Raw genomic sequence first — 24,332 nt, 5'->3', positions numbered from 1 at the left:
TAAAGCCGACATGAGTGAAACAACCACTGTAATTATCCCAGTGGGCACTCTTAAAAAGTAAGGCTGATGAGTAAATGAGGAGATCTTATGAATTAGAGGGTAAAAAGATTTTGCCTTTGTCAAAGTCAAGCTATCTGCAATAAAATGTTTATAGTTCTGCTCAAGTCAGTATCCAGTAGCAGTGATTACAGATGAATTGTGCCCTAAGGGAGAACACATCTTATCAAGTAGGCCTAAGGTGTTGGAATTGGACTTTGACTAATACCTGGGCTTACTTTGTATAATGCTGCAGAATTTTTTTAGTTGTTTTCTCTTTAGACCTAGGCTTTGAAAGGAAAAATAAGTCAGCATCCTTTACATGCAAGCATAGAGTAAAAGTGCATTTAGTGGGCTAAGAATTTGAAAGAATCAAACCCAGCAGAGAGAATTACTAAGGTGTTCTGTAAGGCACCTACGGTGTTCTGTAAGGCCTTCTAAACAATCAGAGAATTGCTAAGATGATGTAAAGAACTGGGCTAGGGAGGCTGTGTCTTATATATGAGAATGATGTGAAGAAGCACCAAAGCAAGAATGAATGAACCTTTTGGCATACAGAATAATGTTTACTATTTAAATGGGAAGGGACAGGGTGACATTTCTGTTGCTTCTAGATAAGTATCTTGTGCTCTTACCTACTGAGTGCATCGTTATATGCCAGACAACTAAACACAGGATACAATGAGGAATAAGAGGGTTCTTGTTCCCAAAGAACTCGCAGCCTGGAGTCAGAAAATGTATGTAAACCTGTACACTATGATAAAGCACAGTGCTAAAGATGTGTTCAAGGTTGTAGGAAATCACATAAAAGGAGTACCTAACCTAACGGGAGGAGAGGAGTAAATCAGGAAAGCAGTGGATGATTGCAGCCTTCTTGAAGAAGTGGAAATTGAACTTACCTTAAAGAATGAAGTGGGAAACTTCCTGGGGAAGATGGCAATTGGAATTTTATTGTAGATGTTTAACTTTTTCAAAGCACCAGTTGTTTTGTGTTTCAAAACAACACACGCATGCGTTGAGCATATGCACATATGCAAGCTGACTAATGTTAACAGTAAAAACAACAAAAAAAGGAGAAAATGTGTAATCTAATGCAATTAAAAAAAAACTCACACCCAAGAAACTGGAAAGTATCTTCTGAATGAGGAGTCTCATTTCCCACAGGAACGATTCTAACCCAACCAAATCCTGGTATAAGTCCTTCACAGAAGTATCTCCTAGGTGAGGTCAGAGCCTAGGTCTTCTAACAAAATGTGTTAATTGAAGCTTTCCCATTTCTCCTGCAATTGAATTAGATACAAAAATATGGCTAGATCACACAATATTTAGTCCTCAAGTCTAGCCTGGAGTGGGAAAAATTATTTCATAATATCACCAGTGTCCAAGAAGCCACTCACACTGAAGCAGAGCGGATACTCAGGCCCTTCTCTAGAGGTGGAGAAGAGATGGTGTAAGAGAAAGAAGCTAAACATTATCTCATCTGAATTTCATTTTCAAAAAGCCTGTGGAGCCTTTTTTACTCTTTGACTATTAATGCCCCCATTTGATACATAAGAAAACTGAGGTTTAGAAATGCTAAATAAGTTGTCCTAGGTCACTAGGGGAGGAAACTTCTGGAGTGAGAATTTGACCTCATTCCTAGAAATCCGAAGCTGTCACTTTTTCTCTAAGACATCATGTTGCTTCCTTGGCTTTTGTAATTACAGCATCTTTCCTTCTCCACTGACAGTGGGCATTGGACTAAGGAAGAAAAAAAATGGGCTAAACGATTTTTTATTTCTCTTTGTATTTCAGTTCTGTGATTAAAGTTTCGGGGAAGATAGAGGCTCTTCTTAGTGCTTAGTTCATCCTGACTCAGCCTTCCAGAGCTGACCTCCTCATCCATGCCCCCTCCTTCTACTGTTCTAAATCCCATCAAATCTGCAAACTCTGCAAATTCTCTTGCACTCTCTTGCTTTTGAAACCTCCCTCAGCATTTTAAAACTTTTCTCACCTGACCCACAAAATTCAGCACTGGCTTATCTTCCGCCATATATTTAGTGCTATTGCTATGTGCGCTCTTTCCATTTCCCCAAGCGGTTTGAAGGCCTGAAGTACATGTATGATACTGTAAATTTATCCTTGAACCCCAAAGCACAATGCTGAACAAAGTGTGTATTCTCAATGGATGCTATCACCAGAAACTGTACAGGTAACCAAGCCCTTAGTTGAAAGCAAAGCCATGTGTGTTGTCATGTCTTACCTACCTACCTACATCTTACCCGATAACTGTAGAGGCCTACAGTGTATGGAATATTTCTATAGGCGTTATTTTATTTTATACTGCATCAAATATATTTATATGACTTAGTTGTTATAATGACCACAAGGTGTTTACTTTTCAATCCGCTTGTTAAGGAATGAAGCAATTACATTTGTTGTTCTGGCCTCTGTATCTTTAAAGGGCTTGGATTTCACACGTCTTACCATTTAGTAACTTATTTTAGCTTGGCTGGAGCTTTTAAAAGATGAAGTTCATTTTATTTGGCAAAGGGTAGAATAGCAGCTTCTTCGCCTGAGGCTTTGTGTTGTTAATTAGATTTGCCGCCAGCTCTTCACATAGAAATTGAAGTTGTTCCGGTTTTTCTTCCCCTTTCCTACTTGAGTCTCAATCATAGACCTACTACTATTTGTACCAATTTAAACCTTTTAATTTAATTCTTTGTCAGGTAAGTTTGGGGGTAGTCCTTGTGTTTTTATTGTTAATCTGATGGAAAGGTTTTATGATTTTCCTATATCTGAATGAAATTGGATGTTTAAAGTTATACGTATGGTACAAAAATAATTCTTTCCATAATTGGAGTTTTCTAGTTAAATTTATCTTCCATGAAGTTGAAAATGTCACTGGAGCTATTACAGCTTGTAATACACAGATTATTTTAAAGAGCAGCCATTAGATACAGTAGTTTTGATCACTGTTTCATGATTCTAGCATATTTATCATATTTATTAGATATTTTTATGTAGCTCAAAATAAGTTTATGTTTATTAAGTCCTGGTAGAAATCAGTACAGTTATAGAGTACCTCTGCATGGTTGCAGATATTTGGTAGAGCAAAGGCAGAGGGCAGTGAGTAGAAACTTGCGCTGTAGGGCAGGAGAGAGTCTTTGGGTCACCCAGTCACCAATTATCAGACAAGCAGTCTTCCTCAAGTGACTTAGTCCCTATAAGCCTCAGTTTCCTCTTGTGCATAAGTGAACAACAGTAGTGCCTTGCTCATCAGTTTGTGGTAACATTCAGATGGGATGACAGGTGTGAAGTGTAGTACAGGGACAGGTATAAAGCAAACCCTCGGCCGGGCACGGTGGCTCATGCCCGTAATCCCAGCACTTTGGGAGGTGAGGCAGGGGAATCACCTGAGGTCAGGAGTTTGAGACCAGCCTGGCCAATGTAGCGAAACCCCATCTCTACTAAAAATACAAAAATTGGCCAGGCGTGGTGGCGCATGCCTGTAATTCCAGCAACTCGAGAGGCTGAGGCAGGAAAATAGCTTGAACCCAGGAGATGGAGGTTGCAGTGAGCTGAGATCATGCCACTGCACTCCAGCCTGGGTGACAGAAAAAGACTCTGCCTCAAAAAAAAAAAAAAAAAAAAAAAAGTAAACCCTCAAGTTTGCTACCTGAGGGACAGAGTGCTGGCGGGGCAGAGTGCAGAGACTGCAGGCCCTGCCGCCTGGCTCTGCCGTGTTCTATTTCTGTGGCTGGTGCACTGTTTCTCTAAGCCTTAGTTTCTTCCTCTGTTGAAAGAGATCATATTACACTGGAGTATTGTTGCATATACATGAAATAATTTATGTAAAGCACCTAGAATATTGTGTGGCATTTAGCACGATTTGGACAGATGGTGGCTGTGTAACTTTGTGTGTGAAAAAATATTTACCAAATGAATAAATCAATGCATTTCAAAGGTGGAAACCAGAGATGGCATTTGAGAGGCTCTGGTAGAACAGAGTTTTTGGTTGAGGTGACGTGAAAGAGGAGAAGGAGTCTGTCACCTAGCAATGAGTATCCAAGCAGAAGGGAAAAGAACCTTCTGGAATGTCTTAAATATGCATCTCTTCACTATTCAATGCTAAGACTTTCAATTCTATTGGATTAAGTTGGTCTTTAGGAATGCATTTCTTCCAGGACAACCTGGATACACACAGTGCCCTCTCCTATAGCACATTAACACATTCTAAAGGGATTTTGGTGCTCAAAGAAAGCCTCACTGTGTAAAATCTGAAATTTCCCAGGTATGAATTTGGGTGATTTATTTATTAGCACCAAACTTTTGATAGTTTTTATTTGTGTTTCTTGTGATTCAATTATGAAATCAAATTGTATGCCTTTTAAAGTTAAAATTAACGTGCTATTGAGAAGGACAAACAAAACAAAAGCTCATTGATTCTCTGAAGAATTTTATACCATTTACCTATAACCTAAGAACATAAATGATCTGCTTCACTGGAATAAACAAGATTAATAGACTTAATAAATTCTTGTGAAAATTACTCAACTTGCCTTTGGATAGATAACTCGAGTCCTAGGTTTTAAGGTAGCAAATGTCATTTGAAACAGGCACCACATCCCTCAAAGAGGCTTTAGAAGAGAATGTCAGTTAACTGAATCCCTAAAAGTAGTAGTCTAAAACTTCCGTATCATTTGGGAAACTTATTATAAAATGTAATAGTAAGTTATAATACCTTCTAAAATTAGATTTAATTTTTGGAAAGCTATACAAGGAAATAGTTTAAACCATAACCAGGGCTTCTGTTTTCCTCTCCTCCTCCAACCCCCTCTCCCACTCCTTCCCCTTTCCCTCCTTTCTTCTTTATTTTCTTCTCTGTCTGTCTCTCTCTCTCTCACACACACACACACACACACACACACACACACACACTCTTACTTTCTCTTTTTTTATTCTCATATCCTTCTGATATGATCATATTAAACTTTTTGGAGGGACGGCAGTATGATAGTTTGACAAAGTAAAGCATGGGTCTTCCTTCTTCTAATATAAGCTTTCTGTCAGTCCCTCTACTTGTGTCCCCTTTGTAGCCAACTTTCCTAGCAATGTAGAAGATCTGACATGTGAATCAACTTACCAGTAAGCTTTCTTCATTCAGAGCTCAGGCAATTGCCTTCCTGGGATCTGGTTAAGCAGTCATTCGTTATCCACCAGTTTTCCAGATATCACCTATCTGCTGTTATTTAATTTCTCTCCCTCTCTCTCTCTCTCTCTCTCCGCCCCCCTCTCCCCCGTGTGTGTGTGTGTGTGTGTGTGTGTGTGTGTATTTGTGTGTGTCTGTGTGTGTGTGTGTAATGTTTTGGGAGTTGTTTCATTAATGAGACTGATAGCATTCTACTCGATAACTTCCCCAAAACTAAAACCTAAAATTCCTCTGACAAAAAAAAAATAATAATCATGCCAAATTTTGTTGTACTGTTTTCCCAGGTTCCACACTATCTTTTCTCACCTTGTGTAGATTTGCTTGTTTTGTTTTAACATTAGAAGGGATAGGTAATATCATAATGTGATTTAAAACATAGGCTTTGAAGTAAAATGACCAGAGACAGGTACCTCAAATTACTAATTTTCTGATATTGAGAATGGTATTGAATAGACTTTCTGAGCATGACTTTATCATTTGTAAAGGTGAAATAACAATAGTACTTTACTTAGAAAATTGTTGGAAGGATCATCTGAGACAGCATGCATGTAAAGGTCGTGTCTTCGTGGACTAAATGACCTGTGGTTTTTCTTTTTCTTTTTCCTTTTTTTTTTTTTTTTTGAGACGGAGTTTTGCTGTTGTTTCCCAGGCTGGAGTGCAGTGCCACGATCTCGGCTCACTGCAGCCTCCACCTCCCAGGTTCAAGCAATTCTCCTGCCTCAGCCTCCCGAGTGTCTGGGACTACAGGCGCGTGCCACCACACCCAGCTAATTTTGTATTTTTAGTAGAGACAGGGTTTCACCACGTTGGTCAAGCTGGTCTTAAACTCCCAACCTCAGGTGATCCACCCGCCTCCGCCTCCCAAAGTGCTGAGATTACAGGCGTGAGCCACCACGCCCGGCTGGTTTTTCATGTTATTGTTCATTCTCATTGTCATCATGCTTTGTCTCCCTTTCCTTTCACATCCCTACTCTTCCTTCACCGCATAAGCACACCCAGATAGGAGTTTTGAACTCAGGGTCTGTTCCTTTTTGTGCGTCCTCACCACAGGTCCTGGCACATGATAGGAACAAAAATATTGTTTTAATTTATTCCATGAATGAATTAATATTTATTAGTCTCAAGACTAAAAGGAGTGGGCAAGGAGAGTAACATACAATGTTAGGAATGACTTTTAATGAATAATGTTAGCAAAGTTCACAATGACAACTTTTTTTTTTTTTTGAGACACAGTTTTGCTCTTGTCACCCAGGCTGGAGTGCAGTGGTGCAATCTCAGCTCACTGCAACCTCCGCCTCCTGGGTTCAAGCGATTCTCCTGCCTCAGCCTCCCAAGTAGCTGGGATTATAGGTGCCCGCCACCGCGCCCAGCTAAATTTTGTATTTTTAGTACAGATGAGGTTTCACCATGTTGGCCAGGCTGGTCTCGAACTCCTGACCTCAGGTGATCCACCCTCCTCAGCCTCCCAAAGTGTTGGGATTACAGGCGTGAGCCACCACGCCTGGCCAATGACTATATTTTAGTTAGTATTATTTTAGATACTAAGATAGTAACTTTAGAATACATTTTCTTAAAGAAGCTTCTGCAATATTAACAATGTGTAAAATCTGCAGTAGTGACAAGGCATCATTAACTAATTATATCTTTCCAAAATGTGTTCACAGAATCAGCTAGCAATTGTTTTTCAAGTGGAATTGAATTATGTGTATAATACTAACAACTGCAAACATTAATATGAAAAAGCACAAATAGGTGTTTGAAAATTTTTTGAATAATTGTTTCTAATTATTGAGGGTTCCCCACCCAAGGTAAGCACTGGGATCACCATTTATTTTATTTTGGTTTAGTATACATAACATAAAATTTACTATTTAACAATCTTAAAGTGTACAATTCTATAGTATTAAGTACATTCACATTGTTCTACAACCATTACCACCATCAATCTCCAGAACTTTTTATCTTCCTCCACTTAAAATCTGTACCCACTAAACACTAATTTCTCATGACCTTCTCATAACCAACTTTTCATTTCTGCACAGTTTTATGAATTCAGACTAAAAAATGTACATGCCAAGATCAACAACTGCTACCATGCATCCACAAGTATGTCTGATAGGGGAAAGCATATGTCCTCAATTGGGAAATAGTTAAAATATTTATAATTTTGCTTAGGAATAACACATGGGTTTTCCTTTTTTGTCAATGTTATCCTAAGTCATCTTCTCTTGAGCACTTTTCAAAACCAGTTCTAACAACCAGCCAAGAATAGAATTAAAAAGGAACTAGGATTTTCAGGACCAACAAGGTATTCTAAGGCCATTTGCATTTCTCCTTCTTCTAATACACTTCAGATACACTCAACTAAAATATTAAGAACCATTTCTCTAGTAGGCACAGAAATCAGGGAACATTACTCTTTGCATAATTGAAGTTCATTCAGATTATGGAAGGAAATGAAGTGGGTGCCACACCAGGGTTCATTCCCTGCAAGGATTGAGATGATGAGTTAGGGAGGAGTCCCAGCCTTGCTATGCCACTTCTTCTAAATTAACATTGGCCAGTTTGGAGAAAAAAATTTGAATTGTCAATACAATCAAAATTTGATGGTGCTGTAGCTTCTCACATGGCACTGCTGTTCTTGGGGACTAGCATCCTAGGGCCCTCACTGCTCTGAGAGAGGCCAGCCTGACTACCAGAGGGAGGTTTGTGGGGGTTGCTTCTTGCCAGGTTCCACTCTCAGCTGTGGTTGCTACAGCACACAAGAGAGATCAGCTGCCCTCATGAACAGAGGTGCCTATATGCAGCTGTGATGTTCTGCCTACATTTTTTTTCTTTCTCCACATTAACCTGGTCTCCCAACTTTGCTAATGAAAAAAAAAATAGAATAATACCTTTCTCTTCTTTTGGCTCAGATAGAAAGAAATTAACAGAAGCCACACATTCTTTTCCAGAGCTCAATGAAGCTATCGATATCAGACTAATTGATTTCGTTCATGCATTCACTCATTCATTTAATCAACAATTGTTTTAGTGGCCTCTATGTGCCAGTCACTATTCTGGGAACTGGGAACCCAGCAGTCAACAGGGAAAGTTCCAGCTTAAGTATTAGTGGAAGGAAATAAACTAGTAGAAGGAAAGTGCCACAAATAAAATTACACAGAGAATCCCATCTACAATAGCTACAAAAATTAAAATACTTAGGAATAAAGTTAACCAAAAAAATAAAAGAAATAAACACTGGAAACTCTAAAATATTAAGGAAAGAAATTGAAGAAGACATAAATAAATGGAGAGATAGACTGTGTTCATGTATTGGAAGAATTAATATTGTTAAAATGTTCATGCTACCCAATGTGACCTATAGATTCAGTGCAGTCTCTATTAAAATTTCAATGTCATTTTTCATAGAAATTAGAAAAGTTTCTAAAACTCATATGGAACCACAAAAATTCCCAAATAAGCCAAGGCAATTCTAAGCCAAAAGAACAAAGCTGGATGTATCACACTACCTAATTCAAAATTATACTACAAATACTAATTTAAAAGCATGGTTCTGGCATAAAAATAGACACATTGTCAATACATTAAAAACTTTGTGTTGTACATGTCAAAAAAATGTACTTTATAAAAAATAAAAAAAATTTAAAAATACACACATTGACCAATGGAACAGAATAGAGGCCCAGAAAAAAGCTCACGTATGTACATTGATTTTCAACAAAGGTGCCAACAACATACAATGGGAAAAGAATAGTCTCTTCAATAAATGATGTCAGGAAAACTGTATATCCACATGCAGAACAATGAAATTGGACCCTTATCTCACAGCATATACAAAAATCAACTCGAAATGGATTAAAGGATTAATCATAAGACCCCAGACTGTAAAACTACTAGAAGAAAATACGGGGGAAAAACTACACAACCTTGGTCTGAACTGTGATTTTTCTTTTATCTGACTCCAAAAATGCAGGCAACAAAAGCAAAAAAGTAGAGAAATGGGACTGCATCAAACTAAACAGCTTCTGCACAACAAATGAAACAATGTACAGACTGAGGAGATATCCTAGAGATTGGGAGACTATATTTGTAAGCCACACATCTGATAAGTGGTTAATATCCAATATATATAAGAAACTCAAACAATTCAATAGCAAGAAAACAAATGACCTGATTAAAAAGTAGGCAAGGGACCTGAATAGACATTTCTCAAAAGAAGTCATGCAAATGACCAACAGATATATGAAAAAAAATTCAATTTCATTAATCATTAGAGAAATGAAATCAAAACCACAATGATTGTTACCTCACACCTGTTAAAATGGGTATTATCAAAAAAACAAAAGGTCATTGGCAAGGATGTGGAGAAAAGGGAACCCTTGTACACTGTTAGTGGGATAAGTAAATTAGTCTAACCAAACTAGATGTAGGTTCCTCAGAAAATTTAAAAATAGAATTATTATATGATCCAGCAATCCCACTTTTTGGTATTTACCCTGAAGATTTGAAATCAGCGTGTCAAAGGCATATCTGCATATCTGCATATCCGTGTTCACTGCAGCATTGTTCACAACAGCCAAGTTATGGAATCAACCTGTGTGTCCACCAACCGATGAATGGATGATGAAATTGTGATATATATATACAAACACATGCAATGGAGTACTATGCACTTTTAAAAAGAAAGAAATTTAATTGTTTGTGACAACATGAATAGAACTGGAGAATATTAAGTTAAATGAAATAAATCAGAAACAGGAAGACAAATACTACACATTCTCACTTTGTGTAGAATCTGAAACAATCTAACTTACAGAAGTAGAGAGTGGAATGATGGTTACCAGAGGCTGAGAGGTGGAGTAATGGGGAAATGGTGGTCAAAGGGCACAAAGCCTCAGTTAGATAGGAGGAATATGAGTTGTTGTTTTTCTTTTGAGATTTATTGCATAGCATCGTGAATATAATTAAAAATAATGTATTGTACATTTCAAAATCACTAAGGAAGTGAATTTCAAATGTTCTTACCATGAAAAATGATAAGAATTTGAGTTGATAGATATGTTAATTGGTCTGATTTAATTATTCCACATTGTATTCATATACCATAATATAACTTTGTATCCCATAAACATCTACAACTATAATTTGTCAATTTATAATAAATATTTTAATTAAAAAATTAAAGAGGATAAAATGATCAGAAGTCAAGTGAATACTTTTGGATTGGGTTGTTTGCAAAGGAGAGATAACCTTTGATCTAAGAATTCAATGACAAAACAACCCTAACATTGGAAATAGGGGAGAAAGCTTTCTTAAAAGAGAATGGCAGAAAGCCCTTGGTGTGCAAGAGTATATAACAAATCCTTACAAGTCAGTAATAAACCTATCATTCCGGAGGCAATGACAGAAAAATGTTTTAACATATGAGAACTCAAAGTGTATAACCATGTACACATAAAATCGTGAAAAAGACACTGTGCCATCTAGACAGACTCAGAAAGGGAAGACACTTTAAAAGCAGAAAGAGGGGTGATCAGTAATACCAGTAGAGCTCAGAATCAAGTCTAAACTATTATTGCTGTTAGTGTGGCTGTAAGGCTTAAAACAAATATAAAAAAATTTCTAGAGTATTGCAAGAGTTTTTTTAATTGTAAAATCAAAAGAGGCGTGTAATTGTGTTTGGAGAATGAGTTTGTAGGTGTATCTGTACATAGGGTGGGAATAGGTTTTAGGGCAAAGCGATCAGTAAAATTTGCTCAACATTTTGTCTTGCATGTGATATTACTAGAGATTCAAACATTTTACGATCTACAGATAAACCATAGTAGAATATGTTTTGTGTGCATAATTTATAAGTGGCAGGAAAACATTTAAACACGATCATTTTATCAAAATAAGACAAAATATGTATTAAAACCCAATCATATGGCATTAAATAAGGTAAATAATAAGTTTAAATATTGTTATTGTCATGGATTATCATTGTGGATTAAATTCCTTTGCTAAAAGACAACACTGTTAAATTGAATCAAGTATTTCTCTATATGCTTTTGTATAAAAAGGACACACTATTTGCAAATAAAGATATGGGCAAAGCTTTATCGCACAAATGAGAAATAAAATTTGTTAGTACAGATGAGATTGCTTTTTTTTGGATATTCTAAATAGGTTTTGCTGGTACATAGCAAAGCTATCGATTATTTGAAAGTATGAATTTACAGATTTCTTATTAGTTTTAATGATTTTCCAATTGATTTGATTCTAGGGATTCCTTAGAGTGCCGTGTAACTTTTTATTGTGATAAATAGTTAAAAACATCACTTTTATACATCATACTGTAGATGATGAATTGCCTAAATAAATTATAGTTTATGGGAATATTTTACAGCCATTAAGACCTGATACTTGATATTGTCCTAAGGTAACCTTCTGGTATTTTGTTTGTTTTTTTTGTGTGTGTTTTTTAAACAAAATCTTGCAGGGAGGAATACAGAACATGTATTAATAACTTTTAATTTTTTCACTCTCTTTTATATTTGCTGAGTAATTTTTATGACAAGTAAGCACAATTTGAAAAAGCAAGACATTTCTACTTAGTGACAGTGTGACAAAATGGGCTGTTTATTTTCATAGATGCTCTGTACAGATGATTATTTTTGGCTCAGCCAAGTAATATAGTATTTGAAATTGAGGAAACTCTTCTAATTTACACTAAATTATGGTTGTGAGTGCAGAGTTTGTACTACTATTAAATATTTGAATTAAAAAAATCAAACACATGAAAGTGATTTCTTCAAAGAAATCTTAATTCTTTTAGAGATAGATCTGTTGAGTGTTCTTTCAAAATGAATTTGTGTTAGCAGGGCACTGTCAAATGGAGCTACTGTTACTAGAAACATATGAACAGAGTATGTTTTGTGGTTTGTAAATCTTGGTGTGCACTGGAATTACATGAATGGCTTATTAAAGCATAAATTGCTGAGCTCCACCCCAGAACTTCGGATTCAGTGGATCTGGGCTGGGGCCCAAGAATTTGCTTCTATTTTTTTTTTTTTTTTTTTTTTTTTGTCTTGAGACAGAGTCTCGCTCTGTCGCCCAGGCTAGACTGCAGTGGCGTGATCTGGGCTCACCGCAAGCTGTGCCTCCCGGGTTCACACCATTCTCCTGCCTCAGCCTCCTGAGTAGCTGGGACTACAGGCGCCTGCCACCACGCTTGGCTAATTTTTTGTATTTTTAGTAGAGACGGGGTTTCACCATGTTGGCCCGGATAGTTTCGATCTCTTGACCTCGTGATCCACCCACCTCGGCCTCCCAAAGTGCTGGGATTACAGGCGTGAGCCACTGCGCCAGGCCAAGAATTTGCTGCTGCTTTTTTTTTTTTATTTATTTAAATTTTAGGGTACATGTGCACATTGTGCAGGTTAGTTACATATGTATACATGTGCCATGCTGGTGCGCTGCACCCACTAACTCGTCATCTAGCATTAGGTATATCTCCCGATGCTTTCCCTCCCCTTTCCCCCCACCCCACAACAGTCCCCAGAGTGTGATATTCCCCTTCCTGTGTCCATGTGATCTCATCGTTCAGTTCCCACCTGTGAGTGACAATATGCAGTGTTTGGTTTTTTGTTCTTGCGATAGTTTACTGAGAATGATGATTTCCAATTTCATCCATGTCCCTACAAAGGACATGAACTCATCATTTTTTATGGCTGCATAGTATTCCATGGTGTATATGCTTCTTTAACTATTCCCCAGGGCTGATGTGGGAACACACTTTGAGAACTTCTGATGTTAATTTAGAAACTGAGGAGGGTCTCAGATTACAGTTGACCCTTGAACAACATGGGTTTGACCTGCACAGATTTGTGTATACGCAAATTTTCTTTCAAGCAAACACAGATTGAAAATGCAGTATTCGCGGGGGATGCAAACCTCGCATCTAGAAAGGGCTGACTTTTAGTATATTCAGGTTCCTTAAGGCGGACTGCGGGACTTGGGTATGCACGGATTTTGGTATAGGTGAGGGTCATGGAGCCAATCGCCCGCATATAACTGAACTCTACTTGCAAGCTAACAGGTTAGCCTTGCACAGTTTTATGCATATACTGACAGAAGACACCAGAGTCCGGGGCAGAGACACAGAGCCTTATGACTCACAGAAAAGCAGCAGCCAGAGAACTGTCTTCCCTCTGGCTTGTGGCTCTAGTTCCCAGTCCTTTCATGGCGATGCTGTTAAGAGTCAAAAGTTTACCTGCGTTTGCATTAGGTTTGCATCATGGGAGAGGAACCCCCAAATTAGGAGAGACTAAACTTTCATGGGCTACTCGCACCTCTGCCTTGCCTGAGTAAGAGCAACAGTGATAGATAGAGAAAGAGAGAGAGAGAGATTGAGAGAGAGAGAGGAGAAATTAATTATCTGTTATACCAGAATGTAAGCCAATCTCATCCGGAGAATAGAAAGGAGAGAGCCTTGTCTCCAGATCTCTCCCGTGCTGTCTATCTTAATGGAGACATTACTCTCCGACTTCCGAGGCTGTCTGTTAAGCAAACATCCTTGCAGTACCCTTTGCTCAGAGGCTCAGGATCATACTGAAATGTGAAAATAACCAAGGATAATAAAATAACCAGGGACAATTGTTTCCCAACAATAAGTATAGAGGATATGTTACAATGTCAGCTATTTTATATTTCTAATTAAGTATCTTTACCATTGTCTCTTCATGAATAAGTTTTAGGCATAAAGTTTTGTTGATTTTTCCATGTGGATATTATATTTCAATAAATTTTTCCCATGGCATGGAGCGTCTTAGGCACCACCAGACATTGATGGTTTTCTACAGGTCATGGCTCGGTGTGGTGGGAAGAGAGGATGTCTTCAGATTCACCTTTATGGGACTCCCTTCTCTGCCCCTTCTTGGCATCTTACCTTGATGCTAATCCTTACCTAAATCTCTCTGAGCCCCAGGTGCCTCATTTATAAAATTGGCATATCTTCCTTATACTGTTGTTGAAGATAAAAACAAAATTTATCCACCATTTTCTATAGCATCTACTATAAAAAGGGTGTTCAAAAATTATAGTTATTATGGGATGCATAACAGTCATAGGTCCTCTTTACAGACCTGTTCCACTCTTAATTTAGGTGAAGTACCGGTCAGGTTCAAGTGCCATTACCCGAAAAATAACTCCAGATGATGCATCACTTCTGGGGAAGTGCTATTTGGTGATGAAAGATGTTGGAAGTTTAAATCCATCCATTGCCTGCTCAGAAAGTGGCTACTTTTCCAGGCATAGGAGAGCTGCTTGGTCAGATGCCACCCGCTCTGTCTTTCAGTGCACAGGTAATGGGAGAAGACAGGAAAATATGGGTTCTGATGGCAATAGCCTGGCCTCAGGAATATAGTTTCAGTTGGTTATTTATTCTTTTGATGCTGAAATTGCCAGCATCTAGAGGTAAAGAATTACTTTGGAACAAAAAATGTTTTGTCCACCAGAGAATGTAGACGTTACAGAGCTATTAATCAAGACAGCCAATCTGAAAGTGGTTTTCACAACAGGATTTAGGAGAGAAGGAAAACTGGAATTAAACTATAAAATGACTCAAGGTTGAAGGAGGATGAACTAACTGAATTACAGATTTTAGAAATTCAACAAATTATACAGGTATAACACTGTGAATGCAAGCACGTGGTTCATTTGAGTGGTCTAGTTTTTCTGTTCATTGCTAAAATGTTTCTGAGAGTGGCCCTCCTTTAACCTGCTGTGTCTTTTCCAACAATGTGGATCTACTTTGTCACTTCTCCTCTTTATTTGTGTGTGTGTATGTGTTTCTGTGTGTGTGCACCTGTGTGTACATCAGCTTTAGGCTGTGAGAGTTATAAAGGTGAGTTACACAGTCTCGGTCTTCAGAAAATGTACTGTTTACTAGAAGGTAAAGGAAGGCTGCGTGCTTAATTATAATAAGGCAAGTTCTAACAAAATTAAGACGCAGGGTGGTGGGGCCATAATGTGTGGCTAGATTCATAGAAGGTTGCTTGAATGTTGTATATTTGCTAAGATCCCAGATGATGAAATGAGAAGCACAGTTTTCATGCTTTCTCCTTACTAACCTTGTGCTGGTTATACTTTTTTAAAACTGTTTCCTTGATGTTGCAATGGTGTAATCCAGTGAGAATAGATGACTGGCTCAAAGTAAGCACTCAATAAATATTGACTGTGTTGACTCTCATTACTTTAATCATTAGTATCTTTAAATACACTTAATAAAAGCCTTTCTTAACAAGCATAGCTGGAGGCCTTTCAGGAAACAATAAGATGATAATAACTAACACTTACCGAGCACAAATTTGTGTTTTACACACTCTGCTAAGCACTTTACTTACTTTTATTTGGTTTTATAAACAGTGCTAAGAGGTAGGTATTATTTTTGTGTCCACTTCACAGATAATGAAATAGAAGATCAGAGAGTATATGTGATTTGTCTCAGGTTGCATAGCTAGGAAGTAGCACAGCCAGATGAAATGGTGCTAGCTCATTTAGTATTATAGGTCCTTGACCTCCATTTATTTTTGTATGTGTTTGTTTTACTGCTTTGTTCCCACCCATGAACACTGCTAGAAAAATTAAACTTTTGGTTAATCTATTCATTTAGTATCTCAACAATCTTTTTTTAAGCTTCTAAGTGCTAGACATTGTGCCCTGGTGGAAATAAGACATGATATCTACTTTAGAAACACAATTCAGTGCAACTCAACCATTTTATTGAGGCCCATCTAAGAATCTTGCACAGGGAACACCATTAGGCTACTGAAGAAACCAGACACATAACCAAATACCCCAATGTGGTGTGGTGAGCACTAGAATGCAGGCAAATATGGACCCTTTTAGAGCAAAGGGAGAAAACATAAAGAAACAGATGAATTTCGCGTCTGCACCAACTGGGTACCACACATCTTTATGATGCAGAAAGGAGACAGGGAAATACTGGGTAGAAGAGGGCAGTTCCCCAGCAAAAGCCCCACCCTCTAGCCTGGATACAGGACGGGCATTCCTGTTTTCATGCCCAAAAAGCTGCCTTTTGACCTGACACACACCCTGTCCTGTACCCGTATAAACTCCGAACCCCAGGCTCCAGGAGCAGATGAGGAGACAGGAAACAAGGAGATTAGCAAACTGGATGGCAGAACAATGCAGCAGAGGAAAGAAGAGAAGGACTGTTAGGAGGAGTTCAGCTGGGGATGGTCAGAGAATCAGCCAGTGGATGGCCAAGCTCCAGGGGAAGATGATCTTCCCACTCCATCCCCTGTCCAGTTTCCCATCTATCCTGCTGAGTTCCACCTCCACCACTCAATAAAACCCCCACATTCATCCTTCAAGTCCCTGTGTCACCTGATTCTTCCTGGATGCTGGATAAGAGCTCAGAATACAGAAAGCTGTCACATTGGCCCTCTGCCCTTGCAAAAAGGCAGAGGGTCCACTAAGCTAGTTAACACTTGGACAGCAACACTAGAAGAGCACACTGTAACATGTGCCCACTTGGGTTTTGGGAATCACAGAAACTCACCCCTAGACACTGCTGTGGGGCGGGACCCCAAAAGCTCTCGCTCTGGTTCCTGCACCTGCTCATCTGCATGCTCCACCTCTTGTAAGGGCTTTGAGCTCATAGCAGCCAAGAAGAGAGCCATACCCCTGTCACACATCCTGTGAGGGGGACCAGGGAACTCTCCCATTTCACTTATACCCACCTCTGAATGATGGCAGAGGACATGTGTGGTCTTCCCAGGCCACCCTGACTCTCAACCCTGTGGAATCAGGGGTGCTCTCAAGGAGGTGGTGACATTGGGGTTGTATCCAGAAGGATAAGTAGTAAATGTTACAGAAGGCATTTAGCTGGGAATATAACATAACAAGTGTGGTCAGCTCTGGAAAGAATGTATAGTTTGGCCTGACTAGAAAATAGTGTATTTTCGGAAGAATGAGGAGGCAATATGGTGGTGAAAGTTGTTTAGAAGCAGCTGATAAAAGGTGTTGAATCATACCAAGATAGATTCTGGAATCACAAGTGGGAAACAAAGGTTATGTCCCAAAAGAAAAAAAAGGAGGGGATACAAGATACCCCAACTTTCTGTTCAATTAAACTCACTGGAATTTCTAACACACTGATTTACGTATAGTTTGAGATGGGAGAAAGAAGTAGAATACCAAGTTTAAAAGATACAAAGTTTTGGCAGGTAGGAAAGTCTAAACATGGATTAAAGAAATAAAGTAAAAATATATTACTTTTAAGTGATCAATCTCATTCTTAAAAGCTTAATTATCTCTGGTGGAGGTTGGGTGGAGGTGAGGAAGGAGTATGGGGACAGGGACAGGGTAGATGGGAAATGGGCTACAGAAAACCCTTGAATTATACATTATGCACTATAGTTGTTAATTATTTTAAATGCGATAAAGATTCTTCTGAGCTAAAGTTTTTTGTCATAAAGATATTCATTCTATATTCAGGAAAACACAGATAAACATAACCTCTTTACAAATACCAAATGGTCTTGTACATATCTGAATGAAAATGAAACTTAGTAAGGACATACAGTCTCAAGAACATGGTATCCTGTGACCTAATTGTTTTGTCTTTGCATACAGAAATCTCTGAGAGGAAGTTCTGCTTTTACATGATTCAGTATTGTTTTGGAGTGCAGTTTAATCTGATTTTGCAAAAAGCAATGTTCTTATTTTGATCATTGTATCTATGATCTCTACTAATATCATTGAATTAATCACATAAACTGGATCTTCTCTGTCCTTTCTCTGACAAATGAGGAGACTTGTTTCAGAGCCAAACTTGACCATCCACTGAGTCTGCCACAGGTAGTTTTTAGAGATATTGCTGCAGGCAGTCTTTTCTCTGTTCCAGAATGGTATACATGTAGTCATCACATTCTTCATTATTGGAACCGGATCCCACCTTTGTTCATTTGCTTCGATCTTCTTGCTCTATGAGAGAAGGTAGACATTTCTGTGGTCATTTCCAGACATAGAATCATAATCACCTTTGTCCTTAAACAGCTCCTTGAACTTCCACTGATTTCATCTCCGTTTCCTTGTGTTCTTTGGAACACTGTGCGTATTGTAATCACAGCCTTAGCTAAATAGGTAAGTAAATGTCAACCTTTCAAAGTTATCACCTATAAAGAAATCCTCAAGAGAACTATAATGGATCTTCTCTGCTCACTCATGTTGTTGGCAGTTCCTAGGAAGATTGGGACAGGGATCTGCTAGGTATCAATCACATACTGATTTTGTATTCAGCTTCTTTGATAAGTTGTTTGGTCCCATGTCACACATTTCTTACCAACTTTCTAACTTGTTTCTCCTGTCTGATTTCTATTTCCCAGGGGAGAGAAAAGACTACCCTTGAAATTCTATCTGGCCTAATATTTAGTTGCAAGAATTTTTAGTTTGTATGTGTATGTATTTAACCTTCAAGCCACATTCCTGGAAATATATTGCTTTAAAGATGTAGAAATTATTTATTTCAAAGACATAATTAAAGAGCAATCTTTGTAATAGATAATTTTCTTCTAATTTCTGAAATAATAAAAATTAGTAAAGTATATTATAATATGAGCAAAGATAAATTTTAAAATGTGATGTTGTAAGAGATTATCCAACAACATAGGAAATGCTCATATTTTACTACATAAAAAATTTGCTAAAATACAATCTGGTGATCTGACTTTAAAATATACATATTTTCAAATGAAAAAAAAACTTGGTAGCTGTGGCAACCATGGGACATTTTGATTATGGCTGATTCTATCTGCTTTTTGTTTTTATCTCTGTTTTCCAAAAATAGCTATATTTTGCTTATTTTAAAAATTAAACAATGATAAAGTGGAATTTTTTTGTAAACAGATTCATTTTTTATTACTCTGGACCATTTTTATGGTTGCTAATGCTGCCTAATTAGGGCAATTCCATATTGCTTATGCTATTCAATTTTGAACAATTGAGTTCATTAATGGCAGAATACAGATTGGAAATATCTATTTGTAATGTTTTAAATGAAAGTCATCTAGCAGTGATTTCTGTAGATTGCTGGATTTCTAGTTAAAATAGTTATTGGGCATCTACTGATTCACGGTGTGTATGTGAGAATCTAACAAATGTCAACAGTACCCCAGAGAATTCTAATGTAGAACCCAAATTTGCAACTTCTAGTCTATAGGCAGATTTGACAAAACCGTTTCCCTTTCTAACTTTGTTTTTATGCAATTCAAACATTTTTTCTTTTCTAGTGCTCTTCCTTCAAGATCGATGCTTCGTACTATTTCTCACATTTATGATTATCAATATTCATTAAATTTATAAGTGTGTATAGGATTGGCACCTTAGTAGACCATAGGCTTCCTTTGCCAGCTGAAATTTTAACAATAAACACAATATAAATTAATAGTGAGACATAAAGTATTATATAGCATCTTATTTCTCATGGTAGCTACAACTGTACCTACTTTATTGTCATAAATGAGACCTACTGATGATATTAAAAATATATGTGTGTATGTATAAAATAATCCAAATGTGTGTATGTATGTATGTATGTATAAAATAATCCAAAATTTATTATTTAAGAAACTGCCATATATGTATACATGACATACCTGGTAACAATTGGAATTTTGAAAGATAGCTTTCACTGGACTGTCTTGTTGTGGAAAGTTCTATAAACAATATGCTTAATGAATATTTAATAGTGTTTTGTGATAAAGGCCACACCTATATACATAACACCATAAAACCAAGCAGGAAGAGCCATGATGACGCAGGGTTACCCCTCTCTGGACAAAACCAAAGAAATGCCAGTAGCCCTGTACTTATTTGTACAAAGTCCTTCCACTCATTTTCTAATGAGTCTTGACATCTACTCAGTCTGTATTACAGTTTCCATTTATATTATCTGCCTGAACTGCGCCAAGACCAGGAAGCCCAGATGTCATCATAAATACCATCACCCATAATATAAATATTCCAATTAGATTCCTTCTATTTTCAACATCTACCATTTTGAGCTAACAGGAAATATTTGTATGAAAATGAAACCTAGATTCTAAGGTCTTCCTATTCCTCCCCTTACTATGCTTTTGTTTTTTAAAAAGATTAATAATATTCAACTGCATTTCAGTTTGTGTTATCAAATGCTCATTTTCTTATTCACACAAATAAGAACTATCAAAACACGCTGAGCACTCCGTACAGGGCACTTCACATCAAGGTGGCCAGAAGTTCATTACAGATTGAAAGCGTGAAAAAGATAGACCACATGTGGGTTTGGTTTTTCTTTTCACGTTTTTTAGAAAATTTTCATTTTCCCTCCCTTTTCAATACTCATAACTTGATATTAAATCAAAATACTTTAAACTGTAACCCCAAAAAATCTGAGTAATCATTGACAGCTCAAGCATATGGCCTTTTCTTGTTTTACTGTTATTGGACTTTAATCAACAATTTAAATCTTCACCATTGGGAAACTGAAAATAGTTCTAGACTGTCCGTCTTTGATGAATTCTAAAAGATGACTCGAGACAGACTGAACTTCTCCCCGACAGTGACCGTGAACCTTCTATCTGTGCACTTAAGAGCAGTTGCCTGCCTTGCCATGTGGAGTCCACGTTACCTTTCATCGCCACATATGTGTACACAGCTATTGTCTCCTGGTAACCGAGAAAGAAGGGCTGATAGTTAGATTTTACAGATTATCTCAACTAACATTAGTTTTATAGAATGTTCCATTCTCTGTTTTACACCCATATTCTTTAAATTGCACCTGCAGAATGCATTCTCACTTGAGTTGTTTTTGATAATCTAAGTATTTCTCCTGATGCGTATTCTTTTTCTATTGATTTTGAAACCGTATGCATAATACCTAGTATATAAATGCTAACAAATAAAAAGTATTTTTTGCAAGATGTGAAATGGTCACATTCATCTTCCTGGTGACAAGCACAGAGACAGTAAATTTCTAACAGCAGTTCAAGCTACTGTGTTTGAAAAGCTTGCAGGGGAAATGAAATATACAAAATTTACCAGATGTAGTAGCACTTCTATAAAATAACTTCTGCCATTATTTCCTTTTTTACATAGAATGTTACATAAGAACAAACTAAGAAAACCAGAATATGCTTTTCAAAAGATGAAGAGTCTCAAAGATAAAAATTGAAAGGAGACAGAAAAATTCTCTTAATACATGAATGTTGTAATTGGGTGCATAAATGATTTATACCATTTACTGTACAGAGCTCTTATAATTATGCAAAAGCTAGGTTTCAAAATAAGTACAATTGTTTCTAAGTTCAGGAATGACTAAGAGGGATTTAAACCCATAATTCTAGGACAGATGCATTGCCACCTTAAAAATTTAAAATTTAAACATTAAAATTAGGTTTACTCATTTCCTCATTTTGCTTTCTAATTAAGTTTTTGTTTAATTTTTCATGAAAAAAAGTTTTCTTTCTTTTAAAATCTGTTGAAGGAAATACCTCCACTCCTACTACCCTCCTACCACCTCCATTGAAAATCTCCATGAAGAACATTTTAACAGTTACGGAATCAAATTTGGCTACTTTGGGTATTCACATGGATGTTGGAAGAGTTGACACAGTCAGAATTCATGGAACAATCTGTGATTTTGACCATATTTTCAGCAGCACTTTCATCATGTTTTATTTTTCTGATTTCAAATAACTCCTGTCATTCTTCAGAAAATAGAAAACTGCCCAACACATGCTCATCTCTGGCCACACAAGCTTTTCCATTCTGTCACTTACTTTTCCATGCATCTTCCTGGTTACTGCTGCAAACGTAGGTAGAGAATGATTCACCCTTCGCAGAATGCTGCCATAACCCTCCCTTCCACCCTAGACAAACACACAAGAAAGAACAATGGCACATAAGAAAAATCTGGCCCCATCTTCATTCAGCCAGTCCTTCTTTGTTCCTAGGAGAGTGAGCAGCTTGCCCTCAGAAGGCTCTGAAATAGGTCAGAACAGGGCAGTATTTCAGTCATCTCCAACAACACTCCTGCCCTGGGCTGAAGATTTATCTGTTATTCCGTTTTCATTTTCATATTTGTCCAGACACTTCACACAATAGAGTAAGACAGGAGACGTTTTACAATGGGCGCCACATGACAGAACAGAGGCCAAAATACCCAGCCTCTACATCCAACTCCCCAGATTAGAAGACAGACCTCCCTCTAGCATCATTTTATCTCCCCCAAAGAAATTAAAGTTAAAAATGAAAACCTGTTATGCGAATCAAATCCCAATTACACCAAAGACTAAAATTCTGCCCTCCCAATTTATTTTTCCACTTAGTCGGAGGCAGATGATGAGCCGAGCAGCAAGCGGATTGATTTTAAGCTGTCTTCTAGTGTGCCCCACGTTGAAATGATTCTAACTCCTAAAACATTCAAGTGTCTCCCTCTTTCTCCTTTTTTCCCCCTGCGAGAGCTGTGCAACACATGAAAACATGGCACAGCCAGACCCACCCATGAAATTGCAAAAACACAAGCAAATCCTCAGGGCCTAGAGCAGTCATCCAGGAAAACTGATGTACATTTGAATTAATACATATTTTTAACTGGAGCTGCCCTTCAGATAACAATCATGGAACCAGGTAGAGCTTTTGAGTTCTTTGAAGAAACGAACATATAACAGCCATAAAGGAAAAGCTAAAATTCTCTTGCTTCTGGCTTTTGCATGGTACTCGTCAGTCCTTTCCAAGTTTCTGGAGTCTGTGACTTGTTAATTGAAACTCCTTTGGGAGAATTTTTCCATTAAAACATTAATTGTGACACTATGCCTCCCATATCCTTAGAGAAAATCCCCAATGCCTAGTGCTACTTTCTTGTGGAGTGGAAATGAAACCTCATCTGCCTTATTGCAAAAGATAGCATTGGGAGATATACCTAATGCTAGATGACGAGTTAGTGGGTGCAGTGCACCAGCATGGCACATGTATACATATGTAACTAACCTGCACAATGTGCACATGTACCCTAAAACTTAAAGTATAATAATAAAAAATTTGTCAAGCTGCCACCTTTATTCTCCTGACCTGACTCAGTTTCTGTCTTTGCCTTAATTCTTAACACAAGCCTGTAAAATGTTCACTCTCTTCTCAGTACCCCAAGGTGACATGTATACTGAGGCAGTCTCCTCTGCCTTTGTTAGCAGGGTACCCGCTCTTTTTTTTTCTTTTTAAAATTATTTATTATTTTATTTTTTAAAATTTTTCTTATTATTATACTTTAAGTTCTGGGATACATGTGCAGAATGTACAGGTTTGTTACATAGGTATACATGTGCCATGGTGGTTTGCTGCATCCATCAACCCATCACCTAGGTTTTAAGCCCCACATGCATTAGGTATTTGTCCTAATGCTATCCCTCCCCTTGCCCTCCACCCCATGACAGGCCCTGGTATGTGATCTTCCCCTCCCTGTTCTCATTGTTCAACTCCCACTTATGAGTGAGAACATGTGGTGTTTCGTTTTCTGTTCCTGTTTTACTTTGCCGAGAATGATGGTTTCCAGCTTCATCCACGTCCCTGCAAAGGACATGAACTCATTCTTTTTTATGGCTGCATAGTATTCCATGGTGTATGTGTGCCACATTTTATCCATTGATGGGCATTTGGGTTGGTTCCAAGTCTTTGCTATTGTAAATAGTGCTGCAATAAACATATGTGTGAATGTGTCTTTATAGTAGAATGATTTATAATCTTTTGGGTATATACTCAGTAATGGGATTGCTGGGTCAAATGGTATTTCTGGTTCTAGATCCTTGAGGAATCACCACACAAAAGCGTTCCTATTTCTCCACATCCTCTCCAGCATCTGTTGTTTCCTGACTTTTTAACTGATGTGAGATGGTATCTCATTGTGCTTTTGATAACAAATCATTTATTCTCAGACTTACGTTTATATGTTGACTAAGCTCTGGCTATACCAGACTGGTCTCGGCTTGGCTTGGTTCCAAACTACCAGCTGTGATCAGATCTACTATATATGCTTTTCATTCTCCATGGACTAATGAGCCAC

General features: G+C 37.7%; 1 protein-coding gene and 1 long non-coding RNA gene across 12 annotated transcripts in view; one reads left to right on the top strand and one right to left on the bottom strand.

Moving 5' to 3' along the window:
- Nucleotides 1-24,332, top strand: part of DLGAP1 (DLG associated protein 1) — a 959,276-nt gene that overhangs the window by 143,925 nt on the left and 791,019 nt on the right. The window lies entirely within an intron of this gene.
- DLGAP1-AS5 (DLGAP1 antisense RNA 5) overlaps nt 15,383-24,332 on the bottom strand; it is a 31,399-nt gene continuing 22,449 nt past the window's right edge. Inside the window, exon 3 of the long non-coding RNA NR_036489.1 lies at nt 15,383-18,223. This is a non-coding gene — a long non-coding RNA (DLGAP1 antisense RNA 5). The remainder of the gene's footprint in view (nt 18,224-24,332) is intronic.

The sequence above is a fragment of the Homo sapiens genome, chromosome 18 (genome assembly GCF_000001405.40).
Source record: "Homo sapiens chromosome 18, GRCh38.p14 Primary Assembly".
In the NCBI taxonomy this organism is placed as follows: Eukaryota; Metazoa; Chordata; class Mammalia; order Primates; family Hominidae; genus Homo; species Homo sapiens.
Note: the sequence above shows the minus strand (reverse complement) of the source record. Positions and strands in the feature narration are given on the sequence as shown.